We start from the raw sequence: 19,948 nt of genomic DNA, 5'->3' as shown, positions 1-19,948 counted from the left end.
TCTATGGATTTCTGTCCAGTTGCATTCAGCTGTTTGGCTGCCAGCCAACCACTAAGAAAATAACTAAAAAAACTCCAGAGTTGGTCTGGAGATTTGCCAGGTGAGTTTGTGGAGGGGTGGAGGGGTGAGGGCTAGAGGGTGTTTGCATGGGAGTGTTGAGGGAGACTTGAGAGTATCGGGGTGGAATCTAAGCTGGGAGAGAGATGAAAGGACACAGGCGTCACTAGGAGCAAGAATGTGGAAGCCCCAGGTTTGGAGGACTCCGGTCAGGTGAATTGCAGGAGGGGCTGGGTGCTGAAGTCAGAGGACTGGGAGGCTGGGAGGTGTGGCCGGAATGGGACGTGTGAAGTCGAGGATGCAGAGCTATTGTGGTTATAGCTCAAAAGTCAAGGGTTGACCCTGGGTGGGAAATGGCTCTTACAAGAACGCCGCCCTCTGGAGGAGAGGGGACGGAAGAACACCCCGAGTGTCTGGATGTCCAAGTGGTATGACGAGGGCTTCCCTCTTGACATTCATCTCAGCTTGGAGCCAGGTGGACATCTCTCTAGCTGCCAGGACTGTCACTGCCAGCTGAGGTGACAGTCATCGAAGCAAGGATATGCCTACTTAGTGCAACTCCAGTCAGAAGTTCCAATCATGGGAAATGACACATCGAATTTATGCACAGGCTTCTCAGAGAGGTTTGCTGCCTAAGCCAACAGCAGAAATCACTGGAACAAGTAACCTGGCACAGGGAGGGATGGACTCCCTTGGCAGGGCCCACGGGCCACCCTCCCCACCAGCATCAATCCCCTGCCCCCTGGGCCCACCTCACACTCACACTCACACTCATTCCCCTTCCCTCCTGCAGCCACAGTTGGCTTCCCTTACCTGGGTACTTGATGTTGGCCAGATGAGAAATGAAGTTGCTGTAATAAGTGTTTTCAGGGTAATTCTTCACCTGCAGAGAAACACAGAGCACTGAGCGTAAGTGAAGAAGAGGCCCCAGCACCATCGCTACTAATCCAGCCACTCAGCTTTCTAGCGGATTGGGCCGAGCCTAGAGAGTAAGGAGAGGCAGCCTGTGCCGTCTTGTGTTTTGGCAGAGACAGTCTGGCTGTTCTTTGCTACCAACCACGCAGGTTCATGAGTCCTTCCAGAAAGGCATTATCTGAAGTATTTTGGCAGCTTCCAGGGAAAGAAGCTTGTCAGTCATTGGTGATGCCCTCAGAAATGGCCAACTCTTACTCTAAAAAAGTCCCCTGTGCGCTTGTTTTTGTTTGTTTGTTTGTGAGTTTTTTTTTTTTTTTAAGAGTCTTGCTCTCTTCCCCAGGCTGGAGTGCAGTGGCATAATCTCGGCTCACTGCAACCTCTGCCTCCAGGGTTCAAGCAATTCTCCTGCCTCAGCCTCCCGAGTAGCTGGGATTACAGGTGCCCACCACCACACCTGGCTAATTTTTTTGTATTTTTAGTAGAGATGGGGTTTCACCATGTTGGCCAGGTGGGTCTCCAACTCCTGACCTCAGGTGATCGGCCCACCTCGGCCTCCCAAAGTGCTGGGATTACAGGCGTGAGCCACCGCACCTGGTCTGTGCACTTGTTTTGGGCAGTGTCAGCCACAGTCAGATTCTTTGTGATGAGGAGGGCTTGATCTCACAAGTTCCCTTCTTCATCCTCAGGACTTCCGACAGAGAGCCAGATGTCCAAGGCAGAACGACTACAATTCCCCCAACACCAGGTCACTCTTTCTGAATGAGTATTGACTTTAACAGTCAGAAAAGTTGCTTTGGGTGAAAAAGGTCTATTTTCAATGGCTCTTTTCAGTCAAGTGGTGTTGATCTCTTTCACTGTGCATAAATTTGGCTTTCTTGGCTTTATGACTGCATTTGCTATTTGTTTTCTAGATGTCTCGTGCCTTTTTTGTTGCATTGGTCCACCTTTACTGCCTTCTTTTGTGTTAAGCAAATACTTCTCATTTACCATTTAATCATTTTTAGTTATTTTCTTAGTGGTTGCTCAAATGATTACCATATACAACTCAATCACAATCTATGTCAGGTTAATATTAACTTAATTTCAGTAAAATATAGCAACTTTGCTTCAAAAGAGCTCTATTTCATCCTCATCCTTCTATTTTTGTCATATGCATTATATCTACATATATTATAAGTCAGTGGTATAGTCATTGCTTTAAATAATCTTGATGGTTTTTAAAAAGAAATTAAAAGAAGAAAACACAAAAAATATATGTATGTAGTCTTTTCTATTCTCCATTTCCAGTACTCTTCACTTCTTTCTGTGGATCGGAGTTAACCGTCTGGTATTATTTTCTTTCAGCCAGAAAAGCATCCTTATATATGACTTGTAAGATAGACCGGCTAGCAATTATACTGGTTTTCGTATATCTGGGAATGTGTTGTTTCACCTTCATTTTTGAAGGGTGGTTTATTGGATATAGAATTCTTGATTGACAGTCATTCCACTGTGTTCTGATGACTTGAAAAGTCAGCCATTAATTGTACTGTCATTCCCCTACATATAATAAATCCCTTTTCTCTTGCTGCTTTCAACAGTTTGATTTTTGATGTATCTAGACTTGGGGTTTATTTATCAGACTTGGGGTATTTTTAGTTTCTTGGATTGATAAATTTATGTTTTTCCTCAGATTTGAGGCTTTTGGGCCATTGTTTTGTTTTGTTTCATGTTTTTCTTCCACTTTCTCTCTCTCCTTTCCTTCTGGGACTCCCATTATATATATGTGTGTGTGTGTGTGTGTGTGTGTGTGTGTGTGTGTGTGTGTGTGTTGCTATACTTGATTTTGTCCCCATGAGTCTGCAAGGCTGTTCATTTTTCTTCTGTCTTTTTTCTCTGTTTTTCAGATTGGATAATTTCATTGCTCTATCTTCAAATGCACTGATTCTTTTTTTCTTCTGCTGCCTCAGATCTGCTTTGGGCCCATCTAGTGATTCTTTTTCCATTTTGTTTATTGTACTTTTCAACTCTAGACTTTCCATTTGGTGCATCTTTAAAGTTTCTATTTCTCCATTGAGATTCCTTTTTTGAGTCATTGTCATCATATTTTCCTTCAATTCTTTGAACATAGTTTCCTTTCATTCTTCAAACATTTATGATAGTTGTTTTTTTTTTTTAATTTTTCTCCCAGCCACAGCATTGATAGTTGTTTTAAAGTCCTGTCTGCTTAATCACTCTGGGTCCACTCAGGTCAGTTTCTATAGATTGTTTTGAGTTATTTTTTCCTCCTAAATATGGATTACATTTTCCTATTTCTTTGCATGCCCGACTTTTTTTTTTTTTTTGAGACGGAGTCTCGCTCTGTCATCCAGGCTGGAGTGTAGTGGCATTATCTTGGCTCACTGCAGCCTCTGCCTCTTGGGTTCGAGTAGTTCTCCTGCCTCAGCCTCCTAAGTAGCTGGGATTACAGGCGTGCGTCACCACGCCTGGCTACTTTTGTATTTTTAGTAGAGATGGGGTTTCCCCATGTTGGTCAGGCTGGTCTTGAATTCCTGACCTCAGGTGATCCATCTGCCTCAGCCTCCCAAAGTGCTGGGATTACAGGCATGAGCCATCGCGCCCAGCTTTTTTTTTTTTTTTTTTTGAGATAGAATCTAGCTTTATTGCCCACGCTGGAGTGCAGTAGCACGATCTCGGCTCACTGCAACCTCCACCTCCCGGGTTCAAGTGATTCTCCTGCCTCAGCCTCCCAAGTAGCTGGAATTACAGGCGCCTGCCACCATGCCCAGCTAATTTTTGTATTTGTAGTAGAGATGGGGTCTTGCCATGTTGGTCAGCCTGGTCTTGAACTCCTGACCCCAAGTGATCCATCCACCTTGGCCTCCCAAAGTGCTAGGATTACAGATGTGAGCCACCACGCCCGGCCCCACCATCTAGACTTTCTTAGAAATGCAGAGGTGTTGACTGGGCCTGGTGGCTCATGCCTGTAATCCCAGCACTTTGGGAGGCTGAGGTAGGGGGATCACCTGAGGTCAGGAGTTCACAACCAGCCTGGTCAACATAGTGAAACCCGTCTCTACTAAAAATACAAAAATTAGCCAGACGTGGTGGCAGGTGCCTGTAATCCCAGCTACTTGGGAGGCTGAGGCAGGAGAATCATTTGAACCTGGGAGGTGGAGATTGCAGTGAGCCGAGATTGTGCCACTGCACTCCAACCTGGGTGACAAGAGTGAAACTTCGTCTCAAAAAAAAAAAAAAAAGGAAATGCAGAGGTGTTGCCTTTGTCTGACTGAGTTGCAGGTTTCCCCTTGCCCTTCGAACAATTTGTGTCTACGCAACCCCTCTGGGATTCCAGCTCTTTTAAGTCAGCTTGTCCACGTTAACCAAGGTCCGGAGATTGACAGCACGGAAGGAGCACAGTGATCTTCCATCGAGTCAATGTTTCCAAGAACTGTGAGCTCAGGAAAAGATGAAGAGTGATAATAAAGAAGACTGTTCAACTAGACTTCACACCTTGTTTGGACATCAACCTATAACTTCAAATACAGACACACATGGGTAGTTTCTGCTTACCTCAACGAAGGCTGCCAGTACAGCCAAACCATCCGGCGCATCTTGGGCTATATCATAGCTCTTGTATTTAGAATTGTAGTGAACAATGTGAATCTGTAAGAGCAAGGTAGAGTGGGTCAAGGGCAGTTCATAGAAATTCAAATGCTTAAGATTTCCAGGGAAGGAGGAAGAGAAAGAAAGGTGCTCCGTCTGAGGCCTCAGACTGTTCCACACAAGCAACTTGGACCTCCATCTCTCTCCATCTGGGCTGCAATTCCTATCTATCAAGAGCAGAAACTTCCCCAAGAATGGAAAGAGCAAGAGTGGGATTCTGGAAGATGGCAGTTCGAGGCCATTTCCCGACCACACCTCCCTCCAGGCAGACAAGCTGGCAGAGTCTGAAGGGATCACATGAGGACAGTGGGTTCTCCTGGAGTGTCTGGGGGCTTTGCAGGGAGAGTGAGCTTGCGCCCCTTGTCCCAGGCAACCATTGTTAACATGTAGTCATCCTATGGATGGATTCTGGCAAAAGAGGTAACTCAGAAAATCTAACACAGTCCAGGCACAGTGGCTCATGCCTGTAATCCCAGCACTTTGGGAGGCCGAGGCGGGTGGATCACTTGAGGTCAGGAGTTTGAGACCAGCCTGACCAACATGGCGAAACCCCGTCTCTACTAAAAGTACAAAAATTAGCCGGCCATGGTGGCAGGTGCCTGTAATCCCAGCTTCTCGGGTGGGTGAGGCAGGAGAATCATTTGAACCCAGGGAACGGAGGTTGCAGTGAGCCAAGATCATGCCACTTCACTCCAGCCTGGGCAAAAGAGCAAAACTCTGTCTCAAGAAACAAAAAAAAAGAAAATCTAACACATAGAAATCCAGCTGAAACAAAGGAGGGCTTGCCACACCCTGTGGGCTGTGAAGTCCTGCCAACCTGAGTCCTGTGAGGGCAGGACCTTGCCTGAACCCCTGTCACAAAGTGGTGATCTGTCAATAGTTGCTGAGTGAATAAAAAATAAACTCAACTTCAGCATGACTTAACTGCTACCATCGCACAGTCTTTTGGCTGTTTTTGTTTGTTTGTTTTGTTGCTCAGACTGGAGTGCAGCGGCATGATCAGGACTTACTGCAGCCTCAGCCTGCTGGCCTCAAGCGATCCTCCCACCTCAGCCTCCTCAGAAGCTGGAACTATAGGCGTGTACCACCACTCCTGGCTAATTTTTTTTTTTTTTTTTTTTTTTGTAGACACAAGATCTCGCTACATTGCCCAGGCTGATCTACAACTCCTGGGCTCAAGCAATTCCCCTGCCTTGGCCTCCCAAAGTGATGGAATTACAGGCGTGAGCCAGTGCACCTGGCCTTGGCTATTTTAATAAGAAAAGTGACGGCTGGGCACTGTGGCTCACGCCTATAATCCCAGCACTTTGGGAGGCCAAGGCGGGTGGATCACCTGAAGTCAAGAGTTCGAGACCAGCCTGGCCAAAATGGTGAAATCCCGTCTCTACTAAAAATACAAAACTTAGTAGGGCATGGTGGCGGGTGCCTGTAATCCCATTTACTCGGGAGACTAAGGCAGGAGAATTGCTTGAACCCAGAAGGCGGAGGTTGCAGTGAGCTGAGATTGTGCCACTGCACTCCAGCCGGGGCAACAGAGCGAGACTCTGTCTCAAAATAAATAAATAAAAAGAAAAGTGACTATGGGGTTCAAAGGAAAGAGGACACAGTGGGGGTCCTCAGGTACCTCGATCACATGTCTGATCCCGTCCACGGTGTGCTCAGAGCCGCTGATCTCCGAGGACGCACCTCCCCAGTGAAAGTGCATCTGCTGGGCTATGTATACAGTGCCGTCAGCCACTGTCATGCGCATGGTGGAGGGCAGGCTGATCTGCACTGGAGAGACAAGGTGGGGCTGAGAGCAGAGTAGGTGAACACAGAGGGGTCAGGCCTACAGGCTGGGTAGCTTCTCTGCTCACCTCCCACCTGTCTGAGCCCAGGGCAAGCCAATACCATAGACTGGCTTAGAATGCCATGGGCAGGGTCACCAAAGGAGAAGAGGCGTTTGCGCACAGGGCACAGGGTGAGGTCAGGATGGAGGCCAGGCACTAAGTAAACCAGGCTGGGCAAGTGCCTCTCCCCAGCACGCTCCTTCCCGCCCAGAACCAACAGGCCAGAGGCAGGACCACACAGTGGCAGGTCCAGCTTGCTGGCCCCAGGGAAAGGGAAGGTCCTGAAAAATTATGGCCAATGGGCTTGGAAACTAGAATTCTACTCTCTATCTCTGGCCAAGTTTGGAATTTGCCGAAGGTATAAGAATAGGAAGTGGGGCCTCTTAGAACTGTTTTCTTTTCTTTGTTTTTTTTCATGCTCACTCTGTTGCTCAGGCTGGAGTGCAGTGGCACCACGATGACTTGCTGCAGCAACTCACTGCAGCCTCCAACTCCTGGCTTCAAGGGATCCTATCACCTCAGCCTCCCGAGTAGCTGGAACTACAGGTGCCCGCCACCATGCCTGGCTAATTTTTGTGTTTTTAGTAGAGACAGTGTTTCACCATATTGGTTACGCTGGTCTCGAACTCCTGACCTCAAGTGATCCACCTGCCTCAGCCTCCCAAAGTGTTGGGATTACAGGCATGAGCCACCACGCCCAGCTGAAATCTCTGCCTTTTGGAATGAACTACACAAAAAGAAAAAAACGGGCTCAGTTACTAAGAAAAGTGACTAAGAAAAATATCTATGAGGATATAATTTCGGCGTTGGAAAGGCAGCATGTGTCTCATGAGCAAGATCTTCCTATTTATTTATTTTGAGACAGAGTCTTACTCTGTCACCCAGGCTGGAGTGCAGTGGCATGATCTAGGCTCACTGCAACCTCCGCCTCCTGGGTTCAAGCAATTCTCCTGCCTCAGCCTCCCCAGTAGCTGGGATTACAGGCATATGCCACCATGCCCGGCTAATTTTTGTATTTTTAGTAGAGACAGGGTTTCACCATATTGGCCAGGCTGGTCTCGAACTCCTGACCTCAAGTGATCCAACCTCCTCAGCCTCCCAGAGTGCTGGGATTATAGGCGCGAGCCACTGCGCCTGGCAAGATCTTCCTATTTAAAGTCATCAATGGTGGCTGTAAACAAGAACATTTTCTTAAAAGATAGCAAATATGAGGTATTTAAAACCTGTCACGTGCCCCCTCTTTCTTTCCAAATTGTCTAAAGGAGCGGGGAGCTATGATTAAATTCATAACGTAATGTGCTATAATGCAGTAATCCGGCCTGAAAGGTTTTCACCGGCTGTTTGGCAGAACAAATGCTCTGTATTTAGAGCTTGAGATGTAGCTGGCCTCAAAAATCAATGCTTGCAAGAAAAGGACGGAAGGGCCTTAAAAGGAGGCGTGGAAGGGCCTTAAAAGGAGGCGTGCAAGGTCAGTGATGCTGAAAGCAGACGGGAGCCGAGGAGCTGAGGACCCGAGCAGAGCTCCCTAAATGGACAGTAAGCACCACAGGAGAAATGAGAGAGGTCCTCACAATTTCCCCAAAACACAGCTCCCGGGAGACGGAATGTGTTACTTCTGGTTACACTGACAGGCCCACACAGGCCCAATTGGAAAAGAGCCACAACCCTGAGCCTGTTACTGTGCTTTTTAAAAAAGATTTTAATTGAGGCAGGGTCTTACTCTGTCACCCAGCCTGGAGTGCAGTGGCATGACCTCAGCTCACTGCAGCCTCGACCTCCCAGGCTCAAACAATCCTCCTGCCTCAGCCCCTCAAGTAGCAGGGACTACAGGCACACACCACCATGTCCAGCTAATTTTTAAGTTTATTTGTAGAGACAGAATTTCACCATGTTGCCCAGGCTGGTCTGAAACTCCTGGGCTCAAGCAATCCACCTGCCTTGGCCTCTCAAAGTGCTGGGATTATAGGTGAGCCACGGCACCTGGGCAATATATATTAATGGATCAGTGCCGGCACCTGGGCAATATATATTAATGGATCAGTGCCGGCCCACCAACTGTTACTAGTCTGCACCAAAACAGAGAAATTGGGAGTTCATTTTAGAAATTTTGTAGCAACTTGTCTTTGTTTCAACAGCCTGTGTTTCAATTTGAATTTCTCTTTATTGAAATGTTGAATCTAATTTAAATTTAATTTTAAAATGAGGAGGCCAGGCCCGGCAGCTCACACCTGTAATCCTAGCAATTTAGGAGGCCAAGGCAGGCAGATCACCTGAGGTCAGGGGTTCAAGACCAACCTAGCCAACATGGCGAAACCTCGTCTCTACTAAAAATACAAAAATAACCCAAAAATATGGACAAAATCTATATAAGGAAAATCACAAAACTAATGAAATAAATCAGGAAGAACTAAATAAGTGGAGAAATATTCCATGTTCACAGATAGGAAGACTTAATACTATCTCAATGTCAATTATTTCCAACTTGGTCTATATGTTACCAAAAACCGGTCCCAATCCAGACCCCAAGAGAGGGTTCTTGGATCTCACACAAGAAAGAATTTGGGGTGAGTCCACAGAATAAAGTGAAAGCAAGTTTATTAAGAAAATAAAGGAATAGGCCAGGCGCAGTGCCTCACACCTGTAATCCCAGCACTTTGGGAGGCCGAAGCAGGCAGATCACTTGAGGTCAGGAGTTCAAGACCAGCCTGGCCGACATGGCGAAACCCCGTCTTTACTAAAATTATAAAACTTAATGGAGCATGGTGGTGCATGCCTGTAAACCCAGCTACTTGGGAGGCTGAGGCACGAGAATCACTTGAACCAGGAGGCAGAGGTTGCAGGGAGCCAAGGTAGCACCACTGCACTCCAGCCTCAGAGCAAGATTCTGTCTCCAAAAAAAAAAAAAAACGGAAGTAGTGGAATAAAGAATGGCTGCTCCACAGGCAGAGCAGCCCCAAGGGCAGCTGGTTGCCCGTTTTTATGGTTATGTCTTAATTATATGCTAAACAAGGGGTGTATTATTCATGCCTCCCCTTTTTAGACCACATAGGGTAACTTCCTGACGTTGCCATGTCATATGTAAACTGTCATAGCACTAGTGGGACTGTAGCAGTGAGGACAACTGGAGGTCACTCTCGTGGCCATCTTGATTTTGGTAGGATTTGTCAGGCTTCTTTACTGCAACCTGTTTTATCAGCAAGCTTTATGACCTGTATCTTGTGCCAACCTCCTATCTCATCCTGTGACTGAGAATGCCTTAACCTCCTGGGAGTGCAGTCCAGTAGGTCTCAACCTTATCTTACCCACCCCCTATTCAAGATGGGGTCACTCTGGTTCAAACGCCTCTGACATTACTATACGATCAAGCAAGCTCTTGGTAATTACCCACATGGACTGAAAACACACAAACCTACACATGGAATTGATTGATTGATTGATTGACTGATTGATTGATTGATTGAGAGAAGGTCTTGCTCTGTCACCCAGGCTGGAGTGCAGTGGTGCAATCATAGCTCACTGCAGCCTTGACCTCCCAAGCTGCTCAAGTGAGCCTCGCACCTCAACCTCCTATGTAGCCAGGACTGTATGTTTGAGCCACCATGCCAGGCTAATTTTTTTATTACTTTCGTAGGTCTCACTACATTGCCCAGGCTGGTCTCAAATTCCTGGGTTCAAGTGATCCTCCCACCTTGGCCTCCCAAAGTGCTGGGGTTACAGGCATGAGCCACCATGCCTGGCCTGCATATGGGTTTTATAACAGCTTTATTCATAACTGCCAAAACTGAGAAGCAGCCCGGATGTCTTTGGATAGGTGAATGGATAAACTGGTTCATCCAGGCAATAGAATATTCAGCACTGAAAAGAAATGAGCTATCAAGCCATGAAAAGACATGGAGGAAACTTAAATGCATATTGCTAAGTGAAAGAAGCCAATGTGAAAAGGCTACATGCTGTGTGATTCCAACCATATGACATTTTGGAAGAGGAAAAACTATAGGTCAAATAAAAAGATCAGTGATTGCCAGGGTTTAGGAAGGAAGGGAAAGATGAACAGGTGGAACACAGGATTTTCATGACACTGAAATGATTGCTCGATACATGTGATTAGAAACCTTTCAAAACCTGACTGGGCATGGTGGCTCATGCCTGTAATCCCAGCACTTTGGGAGGCCGAAGTGGGCGGATGACTTGAGGTCAGGAGTTTGAGACCAGCCTGGCCAACATGGTGACACCCTGTCTGTACTAGAAATACAAAAATTAGCCAGGCGTGGTGGCACATGCCTGTAATCCCAGCTACTGAGGAGGCTGAGGCAGGAGAATTGATTGAACCCGGGAGGCGGAGGTTGCAGTGAGCCGAGATCGCGCCACCGCACTCCAGCCTGGGCTACAGGGCACGACTTCGTCTCAAATAAAAGAACCTTGCAAAACCAAAAATTAACAAATCTTTAATACGTCATGTCAACTTTACTGTTAAGCTTAGTGTTCATCAAAATCTCATTAGATTCAAAGTTTGTAGATTAGCTTTTTTTCCCCCTTCAGTAGAATTCCTGAATGTGCTTGGAGCTTGCTGAAAAGTAGCCAATGGCAATAGCCAAATAACTTCAAAAGCTAAATTATAAAAATCTTTCAAAATACTTTATATCAGGCTGGGCACGGTGGCTTATGCATATAATCTCAACACTTTGGGAGGCCAAGGTGGGCGGATCACTTGAGGTCAGGAGTTCGAGACCAGCCAGGCCAACATGCTGAAACCCCATCTCTACAAAAAATACAAAAATTAGCTGGGGGTGGTGGTGTGCGCCTGTAGTCCCATCTACTCAGGAGGCTGAGGCATGAGAATTGCTTGACCCTAGGAGGCAGAGGTTGCAGTGAGCCAAGATCATGCCACTGCATTCCAGCCTGGGTGACAGAGTGAGACTCCATCTCAGAAAAAAACCCTTTACATCGAAAAATGGAATTATGGCCAGCCTTGGTGGCTCGTGCCTGTAATCCTAGCACTTTGGGAGGCCAAGGTGGGCAGAGCACTTGAGGCAAGGAGTTCGAGACCAGACTGGCCAGTATGACAAAACCGCATCTCTACTAAAAATACAAAAATTAGCTGGGCGTGGTGGCACATGCCTGTAGTCCCAGGTACCAGGGAAGCTGAGGCAGGAGAATTGCTTGAATCTGGGAAGTGGAGGTTTCAGTGAGCCAAGATTGCACCACTGCACTCCAGCCGGGGTGACAGAGCAAGACTCCATCTCAAAAAAAAAAATTGTTTTTAATATATATATAATTAATGTGAACTTTGGGTCCACTCTAATGTCCGACATGCTGTCGTGTGAGGTGAGAACCCCAAAGGAACAGGCTTCCGGACCACAGAAATTTGAGCAGAGCCCTAAAGGAAGAAGGTACAGGGTCCTCTGGAAATTGGGAGGCGGGAGCCGCTGCAAGCCCCTTGGGAAGCTGGGCTCTTCTCTTCCATATGCCTTCCCTCTTCTGGGCCCTCAGCACGAAGCCCGCACTCAGCAAGCGTTGCCCATAGAGATCCTCCATCAATGATTGCTTCCCACCAGCTGTCCAGGGAGGGTGAACAAAGCCACTGCCTTTGGCCTTTGTGCTTCGCCCCTTCTCCACAAGGAGAGGACAAGGAGGGGAGGAAGAGTTCCGCCTGCCAATCTGGAAGCATCAGAGAGTAACTTTGGAAACAAGAGCTCGACATTATGATGAAAATGAGGCTTTTGTTCATTCTTTGTGTATTTCAGGGCTCCTGGCCACATAAACCTGAGTCCTTTTACAGACAGAGCTTCATTCTCCAATTTGCTACTTTCACCAACCCTATAAAGGACAATTGGTTTTCTTTCTTTCTTTTTTTTTTTTTCTTTGAGATGGAGTTTTGCTCTTGTTGCCCAGGCTGGGGTGCAATGGCACGATCTTGGCTCACTGCAACCTCTGCCTCCTGAGTTCAAGTGATTCTCCTGCCTCAGCCTCCCGAGTAGCTGGGATTACAGGCATGCGCCACCACGCCCAACCAATTTTTGTGTTTTTAGTAGAGACAAGGTTTCACCATGTTGGCCAGGCTAGTCTCGAACTCCTGACCTCAGGTGATCTGCCTGCCTCGGGCTCCCAAAGTGCTGGGATTACAGGCATGAACCACCTCACCAGGCTGGTTTTATTTTCTTGATTGTGCAAGATAAGAACACTAAGTCCTGTGACCCTTTTATTTTTTTATTTTAAAGAAACGGTCTCGCTCTGTTGCCCAGGGTGGAGTACAGTGGTAATCTCGGCTCACCACAACCTTGACCTCCCAGGCTCAAGTGATCCTCCCACCTCAGCCTCCCGAGTAGCTGGGACTACAGGCACTCACCACCACTCCTGGCTAATGTTTTGATTTTTTGTAGAGATGAAGTCTCACCAAGTTGCCCAGGTTGGTCTCAAACTCTGGCATCAAGTGATCCTCCCACCTCAGCCTCCTAAAGTACTGGGTTTACAGGCATGAGCCACCATGCCTGGCCAAGTCCAGTGACTGTCCTATCGCTGTGTGGCAGGCAGGGATGTATCTCAACCCAAGCAGGAGTGAGAGAGTGCAGAACCTAAGGAGGATGTGGCCAAGAAACCTGACAACTGGGGGTGTGAGCCCATCTTGGCCATTAGACAGTGTGTGGCCTTGGGTGAGTCCCTCGACCTCCTGAGGCCTCAGACTTCCTGCCTAAAAAATGCCCCCTCCTGGGGTGGTCATGAGGCTCAGAGGAGTCGAGCCAACTTGGAAAATCAGGAGGATATTCTGCACAAGTAAAGCACAGATTTCACAGTTTCCAGGCCGGGCATGGTGGCTCGTGCCTGTAATCCCAGCACTTTGGGGAGGCTAAGGTGGGCAGATAACTTGAGGTCAGGAGTTCCAGACCAGCCTGGCCAACATGGTGAAACCTCGTCTCTACTAAAAATACAAAAAAAATTAGCTGGGCATGGTGGTGCATGCCTGTAATCCCAGCTACTCAGGAGGCTGAGGCAGGAGAATCGCTTGAACCCAGGAGGTGGAGGTTGCAGTGAGCTGAGATCCTGCCACTGCACTCCAGCCTGGGCAACAGAGTGAGACTCTGTCTCAAAAAAATAAACAAAATTTACAGTTTCTCATATCGGATTCCTGAAGTGGGGCATCCCCACGGCCCTGCTTTTTCTGTCTGACCTTCACCTTCTTTCTTGTAGGGATCAGAAAGCCAGAGCTTTCTTCTTAAAACTCTGAGAAACCCTGGTCCTACCTGTCAGGTGCTTTGAGCTGAATAGACTCAATATAGGAAATGTGGAAAAGCTGACCCAAGGTGATGGACAGAAAGCCCCCGTGGGAAGGGTGGCTTCAGCAGCACGGCCTGTCCTGCCTGTCACCTGCTGGGTGGGTTGGGTGAGCTCGGGTAAGAGGATAACGCTGCAGGAAGGGACCAGCAGGGAGTTGAGTCGAAAGATGGATGCTGCCCTCTCTGGAAGAGCCACTAGGTTTCGGGGCCAGTCAGCCCTCATGTTCGACCCTCATGTTCGAGGCCTCCAGCTCTGAGGCCGTGCTCTGTGTCTCTGTGCAAGCCATTCCTGGCAGGGACACGTGTAACCTGCCTTCCCCTGCAGGCTGCCCATGGACTGGAGCCCCTCACCACCCCTTCCTCTTACCTGTGTGGCCATTGTTGACCATGGGGAACTCCCCTGCCTGGGTCTCATAGCCTGTCATATTGAGCCCCTTCAAGGAGGGGTTGTACCGCACCTTCGTCCTCTGTAGGTTGATAGGCGACTGTCTCTGGCCCCCACAGGCGGGGTAGTGCTGTGGCCAGTGCGCTTCGTCCAGTGCCCCTTCTAAGACAGGAAAGACACAGTTCAAGGGGCTGCCTGGCTGCGCCCACTCTGGAGGAACCTCACCAGGCCAGAGGCCAGAGGCCAGGGCCTGCTGGGCGGGGACCCACGGAGGCACCTTCCAGAAAGCAGAAGCAGGTCCCCCAGAAGGAGGCCAAAAAGACAACGAGGTCAACTCCAAGGACTCTGGTGTTTGGGGGGCTTTGGTGCTAACCTCTAACTTTCCTGTGGCAACTGCTGGCCCTGGGAGCAAGACAGTGTTTTGAAATCAATGGAAGTCTTTTTTTTTTTTTTTTGAGACAGGGTCTCGCTGTGTCACCCAGGTTGGAGTGCAGTGGTGCAATCTTGGCTCACTGCAACCTCTGCCTCCCAGATTCAAGAGATTATCCGGCATCAGCCTCCGGAGTAGCTGGGATTACAGGCATGCACCACCACGCCTGGCTAATTTTTGTATTTTTAGTAGAGACGGGGTTTCACCATGTTGGCCAGGCTGATCTCTAACTCCTGACCTCAGGTGATCCACCCACCTTGGCCTCCCAAAGTGCTGGGATTACAGGCGTGAGCCACCGTGCCCGGCCTGAGAGTGTTTTATACGTAAATTTTTGCTCTCGTTTGACTTATTTCCAGCTGGTGAATGCATGGAGGGATCCTTGGCTTTGCTCTTCCTGTGCTGCTCCTGGGGCCTCTTCCTCATTTCCTCCCAAGGGCCCAGTTGTCCTTCCATGCCCCCAACAGGAACACAGCCCCCACCTCCCCATGCTGCAGGAACCCCCCACCACTATTTTCTTGCTCCAGCCCCTTTTATGGATTCCCGTATGGTAAAGACCATCTAGGTGTCTACACTTATGGATTCAGGGAAACTAAGGAAGCATCAGGTTCCAGGACAACCTAGAATGAGTACTTTTTTAAAATTCATAAGGAGAAAGTTTATCTTTTCAGAGAGGGTTGATAATCGTAGGGGACAGAGTAACATAGGTGAGTGATTATCATGGTGACTTGGCTCCCATACAGCTGTGGAGCTTGGAGTCAGCCATGTGACATGGAGAATCCCACCTCTGTTCCCTGTTCGGGGGTAGCTGTGTGGTGAGTACACAGCTTGTTTTAAGACAGGTGTTTGTGGCTGGGCACGGTGGCTCATGCCTGTAATCCCAACACTTTGGGAGGCCGAGGCGGGTGGATCACCTAAGGTTGGGAGCTCGAGACCCACCCTGACAAACCTGGAGAAACTCCATCTCTACTAAAAATAAAAAACAATCAGCCGGGCATGGTGGCACATGCCGTTAATCCCAGCTACTTGAGAGGCTAAGGCAGGAGAATCACTTGAACCCAGGAGGCAGAGGTTGCGGTGAGCCGAGATCGCGCCACTGCACTCCAGCCTGGGCAACGAGAGTGAAACTCTCAAAAAAAAAAAAAAAGGTGTCTGTACTAGGGCCCTCACCGCTTTTTGGTTTGTAATCAAGGCAATTGGCCTGGAGCACAACGCCTTCTCAGAGCAAGATGCTTTGGCCCAGGGCACTGTCAATACTGGAACATCTCTCAGGTTTCCCTGGAAGGCATTTACAAAAGCTACTCTCAAGTTCTCCTGGAGCCCCTAGTAGTTTCCCAGGAAGCCCACTGTCTCAGAGGCTGGGCAGAGCCTGGGAAGGACAAGGACTTCATTGTCTGAATTCTCTCTTCCTTCACCTCTGAACCACCTGCCTGCACTGCTTGGCCAAGTGAAGCAGAATGCCCCAGGCTTCCGAGGCACTGCCATGTGTAAGATCACTGTCCTCAGGAACAGAGCGGTTGTTCAGAGCTGGCTGGACTTTCTGAACCTCCCAGGATGTCCCTAATTCCGTTGCCCTTGACTTAACAGATCATCCCGTTCACCCTGAAGGAATGCTTCCGGAGCAGCTGAACTGGGGCAGACTCTGCAGGAAGCAGATGTTTGTCTCACTTCCTGCATCAGCCAGCGGCCACCAGCCTCCTCATGGGCCCCAATCCATGGTCCCGTATGGAAAGAAGGGGGATGCGGGAAGAAGCTCTCCTCACTGCCCCTGGAAAGGGCTGTTTAGTGTCCACAAAGTCCACAGACACGGCCTTCTAGCTTTGGCTCACATGTGGACCAGAACCCATGTTGAATGCCAGGATTTTACATTTCACATTTTAAAAGTCTGGTTTGGGGCCTGGCGCGGTGGCTCACGCCTGTAATCCCAGCACTTTGGGAGGCTAAGGTGGGCGGATCACTTGAGGTCAGAAGTTTGAGAACAGCCTGGCCAACGTGGTAAAACCCCATCTCCACTAAAAATACAAAAGTTAGCCAGGCATGGTGATGAGTGCCTGTAATCCCAGCTACTTGGGAGGCTAAGACATGAGAATCGCTTGAAACCAGGAGGCAGAGGTTGCAGTAAGCCGAGATGGCACCACTGAACTCCAGCCTGGGCAACAGAGCAAGACTCTGTCTCAAAAAAAAAAAAAAAACAAAAAAAAAAACACCTCTCATTTTGGCAGCCCACAGATCAAAGGGAACTGGGTCCTTATGTCAAGATGTTCTGGGTAAACTGCCTACCATGAAATTTCCAAGAAAGAAGGTCTCGCAAACCCCACAGCACCTTCCGTGAGGTTACCGAGAGTCTTTTCTAAGAACTTTGTTTTCCACTTACACGGACCAACAAAGCAAATGGTTTTACAAATAGAAGCAGTGAGTGTGCTTTTGAACCAGCCAACACTGTGGATGGAAAAAAATTTAAAGCAAAAAGCCTGTAAGTAAATCAGGAGTTTGTGAAGGGGAAAGCTATTTCCTTCTTTTCCTTATTTGAAGTTTAAGTTCAGCTTATTCTCCATACCTTCTGAGACACTGAAAAGGTAACATCTGAAGCCACAATGAGCAGACCCCCAACATATGGCAAGTGGGCTGCCTGGCCATCCTGTGAAATGCCCTAAAGGAGGACTCTTGGCCGGGCGCAATGGCTCATGCCTGTAATCCCAGCACTTTGGGAGATGGGCAGATCACCTAAGGTCAGGAGTTCGAGACCAGCCTGGACAACATGGTGAAACCCTGTCTCTACTAAAAATACAAAAATTAGCCAGGCATGGTGGCAGGCACCTGTAATCCCAGGTACTCGGGAGGCTAAGGCAGCAGAATCACTTGAACCCGGGAGGCGGAGGTTGCAGTGAGCCAACATCACACTACTGTACTCAAGCCTGGGCAACAGAGCAAGACTTTGTCTAAAAAAAAAAAAAAGAAGAAGAAGAAGGGCACTTGTCCTGTTGTAAGGGTGTGAGGGTAACTGGGGGAGCATGCAGAAGCTAGGGGCTCACCTGAGTAGGTCCAGTCAGACACATGCTGGGCCTGGCCACCCAGCAGGAACAGGGACAGCAGAAGCACCAGGGCCCTCATGGTGCTGCACATCTGTAATGAAGACTGATTCCGGCGAAGCTCTTCTTTTAAAGGCTCAGAAACTGTAAATAACAATTTACAATTGATCTGCCCAGCTGGCTAAACCACCCTTTGCTGCACCCACTAAAACAATAACACCCTCCCCATAACAGCACTTCTGGCTCCGTGCATTGCGCCAGGCAGCCCCAGCACCTGCCTGATCTCCTCCCACGTCAATTTCATATCCGGTCAGTCCATGGGTTTGGTTGTTCAGTGTCTTAGGAACACCTGAAGAGCCACACAGTGCAGCCATTGTGGACAGGTGACCGCGGAAATGGGAAAAGGCCCAAGGCAGGGAGAAGCAGGATGAAAGACTTTCCTGGACGTCGGACTTCCCATGCTCTTTCTCCTGACATTAGAGATCTGGGGACTGCTGATGGGATCACCACTGCCTGCAAACCCTGCCCATCTCAGTCATGGACACAAGCCACCGCTGCAGACATGTGGCTGCCCTCAGCCAGGCATCCAGGGAGGTGGCCTGGCCTCCATGTTTGGACATTTCACGGTCCTCTCCTTAAACCAGTGGTTGATCCTGGGTCCCAGCTCATGAGCCACATTCCAATGTGTGCCTTTATGCCATTCAAGCTGGTGTGGGCGTCTGCATTTCTACATGGATTTGTTCTGACACCTGCAGGGCTCTTGGGCACACCTAAGCCAATCAGCCAATTGCCCTCGCAGGATCCATGGATTACCTAATCCTGTGTATTCACTTGGCTAGACAGTCCCTGAAATTAGCTGAAGGAGAAACTTTTGAGTTTATGCCTGCTGACAGGCCAGCATTTCCCATGCCCTTCCACAAGGTCAAACACAAAGGGTAGCCGGAGCTCCTGCGGGGGGGCTACCATGCTGCCGGACACAAAGGGCCACCCCTGCCTTGTTATGGGGAGCTGAACCCCCTCCTGGCCTAGCTTAACTCATTGTCCACTTGGTCCTGGAATGGCAAACGTCAGCAGGCCTTCACAACAAGGATGTTAGCGGTGAACGTAGGCCTCCCGAATACTTCTAAGACTCCCCACTGTCATTTAATAGGGAACATCAGCTGCTGCAAAGAACTTGCTGGAAACTTCCATTTCTAAAGCTCAAGAGCTGAAAGAATCTCAGAGAGAGAGCAAAGCATGTTCAAGGACAAGGATTCTGAAACTAGACAGGATCTGTGCCACCTGCTAACTGTGTGACCATGGGCAACTCAGCGCTCTGTGCCTCAGCTTTCCTTCCTTTTCTTTTTTCTCTTTCTTTCTTCCTTTCTCTCTTTCTTTTCTTTCTCTCTTTCTCTCTTTCTTTCTTTTTTGAGACAGGGTCTCTCTCTGTCACCAGGCTGGAGTGCAATGATACGATTTCAGCTCACTTCTCTTGGACTCAAGCAATCCTCCTGCCTCAGCTTCCCAAGTAGCTGGGACCACAGTCGCATGCCACTACGCCCTGCTAATTTTTGTACTTTTTGTAGATACAGGTTTTCACCATGTTGCTTAGGCTGGCCTCAAACTCCTGGACTCAAGCGATTCTCCCGCCTCGTGCTCCCAAAGTGCTGGGATTACAGGCGTGAGCCGCCGCACCTGGCCGCCTCCTTTCTTTAAAAGGAGTTAGTGATAGCACCTCCTTTGTGGGGATTCGGCAATAAATGTGCCTGCAGTAGTTGGAGCAGTGCCTGGTGTGTAGCAAATGGCATTAGCATCTATTCAGACCCCTCATTTTATAGGAAAAGGAAGTGATTTATCATTGCCACCCAGCTGGTTAGTGAGGGAACTGGAGGAAAAATGCTTCAATCTCCAGCTTATGGACCATTTCTTTGCAAAAATGAGAAACCTACTCTTCTGTCCTTGCTAAACCAGTGACGCCCACCTGCTGACTCCCAGCCCTGCGGAAAGGGCCACCTTGTAAATCACAAGGCCCCACCTCTGCTGAGGAGACCAAGACCCTTTACAAGCCCAGGCAGGACCCCTGACATCAAACTGGCAGGAAAACACAAACTCAGTCATCTGAATTTTTTCTTGGGAATCTGAATTGGGAGACCCAGAAAGAATCAGGGAGCTGCAGGCAGGCAGAGACTAAAATGTCAGGCTGTCACGGAAGCCTGGGAGGACTGGATGAGCCCAGGCGAGGGGAACTGGAGCAGGAAGGAGCTCAGAGAAAGCCTGGGCCAAGGGGGAGGGGAAGACTGCCCAAAGAGGGGCCCTGGAGAGTCAGAGAGAGGAGTGCTTGCGGGAGAGCACAGTGAAATGCAGAGGGCCCACCACTCCTGGCAGCTCCCAGCCCCACGGGTCTCACTGCC

General features: G+C 48.8%; 1 protein-coding gene across 6 annotated transcripts in view, besides 1 other annotated feature; it reads right to left on the bottom strand.

Moving 5' to 3' along the window:
- The window catches only part of CA6 (carbonic anhydrase 6), a 29,225-nt gene extending 11,566 nt beyond the window's left edge, over positions 1 to 17,659 (bottom strand). For 4 of the 6 annotated variants that reach the window (NM_001215.4, XM_011542084.4, NM_001270500.2 and 1 more), the window contains exons 1-5: positions 17,562 to 17,659; positions 14,085 to 14,264; positions 6,242 to 6,390; positions 4,525 to 4,617; positions 871 to 940 (exon numbers count right to left, since the gene is read on the bottom strand). In NM_001215.4, coding sequence (NP_001206.2) covers positions 871 to 940; positions 4,525 to 4,617; positions 6,242 to 6,390; positions 14,085 to 14,264; positions 17,562 to 17,640 — 571 coding nt within the window. In that variant the 5' untranslated portion in view covers positions 17,641 to 17,659. The remainder of the gene's footprint in view (positions 1 to 870; positions 941 to 4,524; positions 4,618 to 6,241; positions 6,391 to 14,084; positions 14,265 to 17,561) is intronic. The other 2 variants (NM_001270501.2, NM_001270502.2) reach the window with 2 other exon arrangements.
- Positions 243 to 537: an enhancer, noted in NCBI's record as "tiled region #1652; K562 Activating DNase unmatched - State 25:Art". NCBI's record gives its function as "activates a minimal TATA promoter and a strong SV40 promoter by Sharpr-MPRA in K562 cells {active_cell/tissue: K562}" and the evidence as "EXISTENCE:reporter gene assay evidence [ECO:0000049][PMID:27701403]".

Source organism: Homo sapiens, chromosome 1 (assembly GCF_000001405.40).
Source record: "Homo sapiens chromosome 1, GRCh38.p14 Primary Assembly".
Classification (NCBI taxonomy): Eukaryota; Metazoa; Chordata; class Mammalia; order Primates; family Hominidae; genus Homo; species Homo sapiens.
Note: the sequence above shows the minus strand (reverse complement) of the source record. Positions and strands in the feature narration are given on the sequence as shown.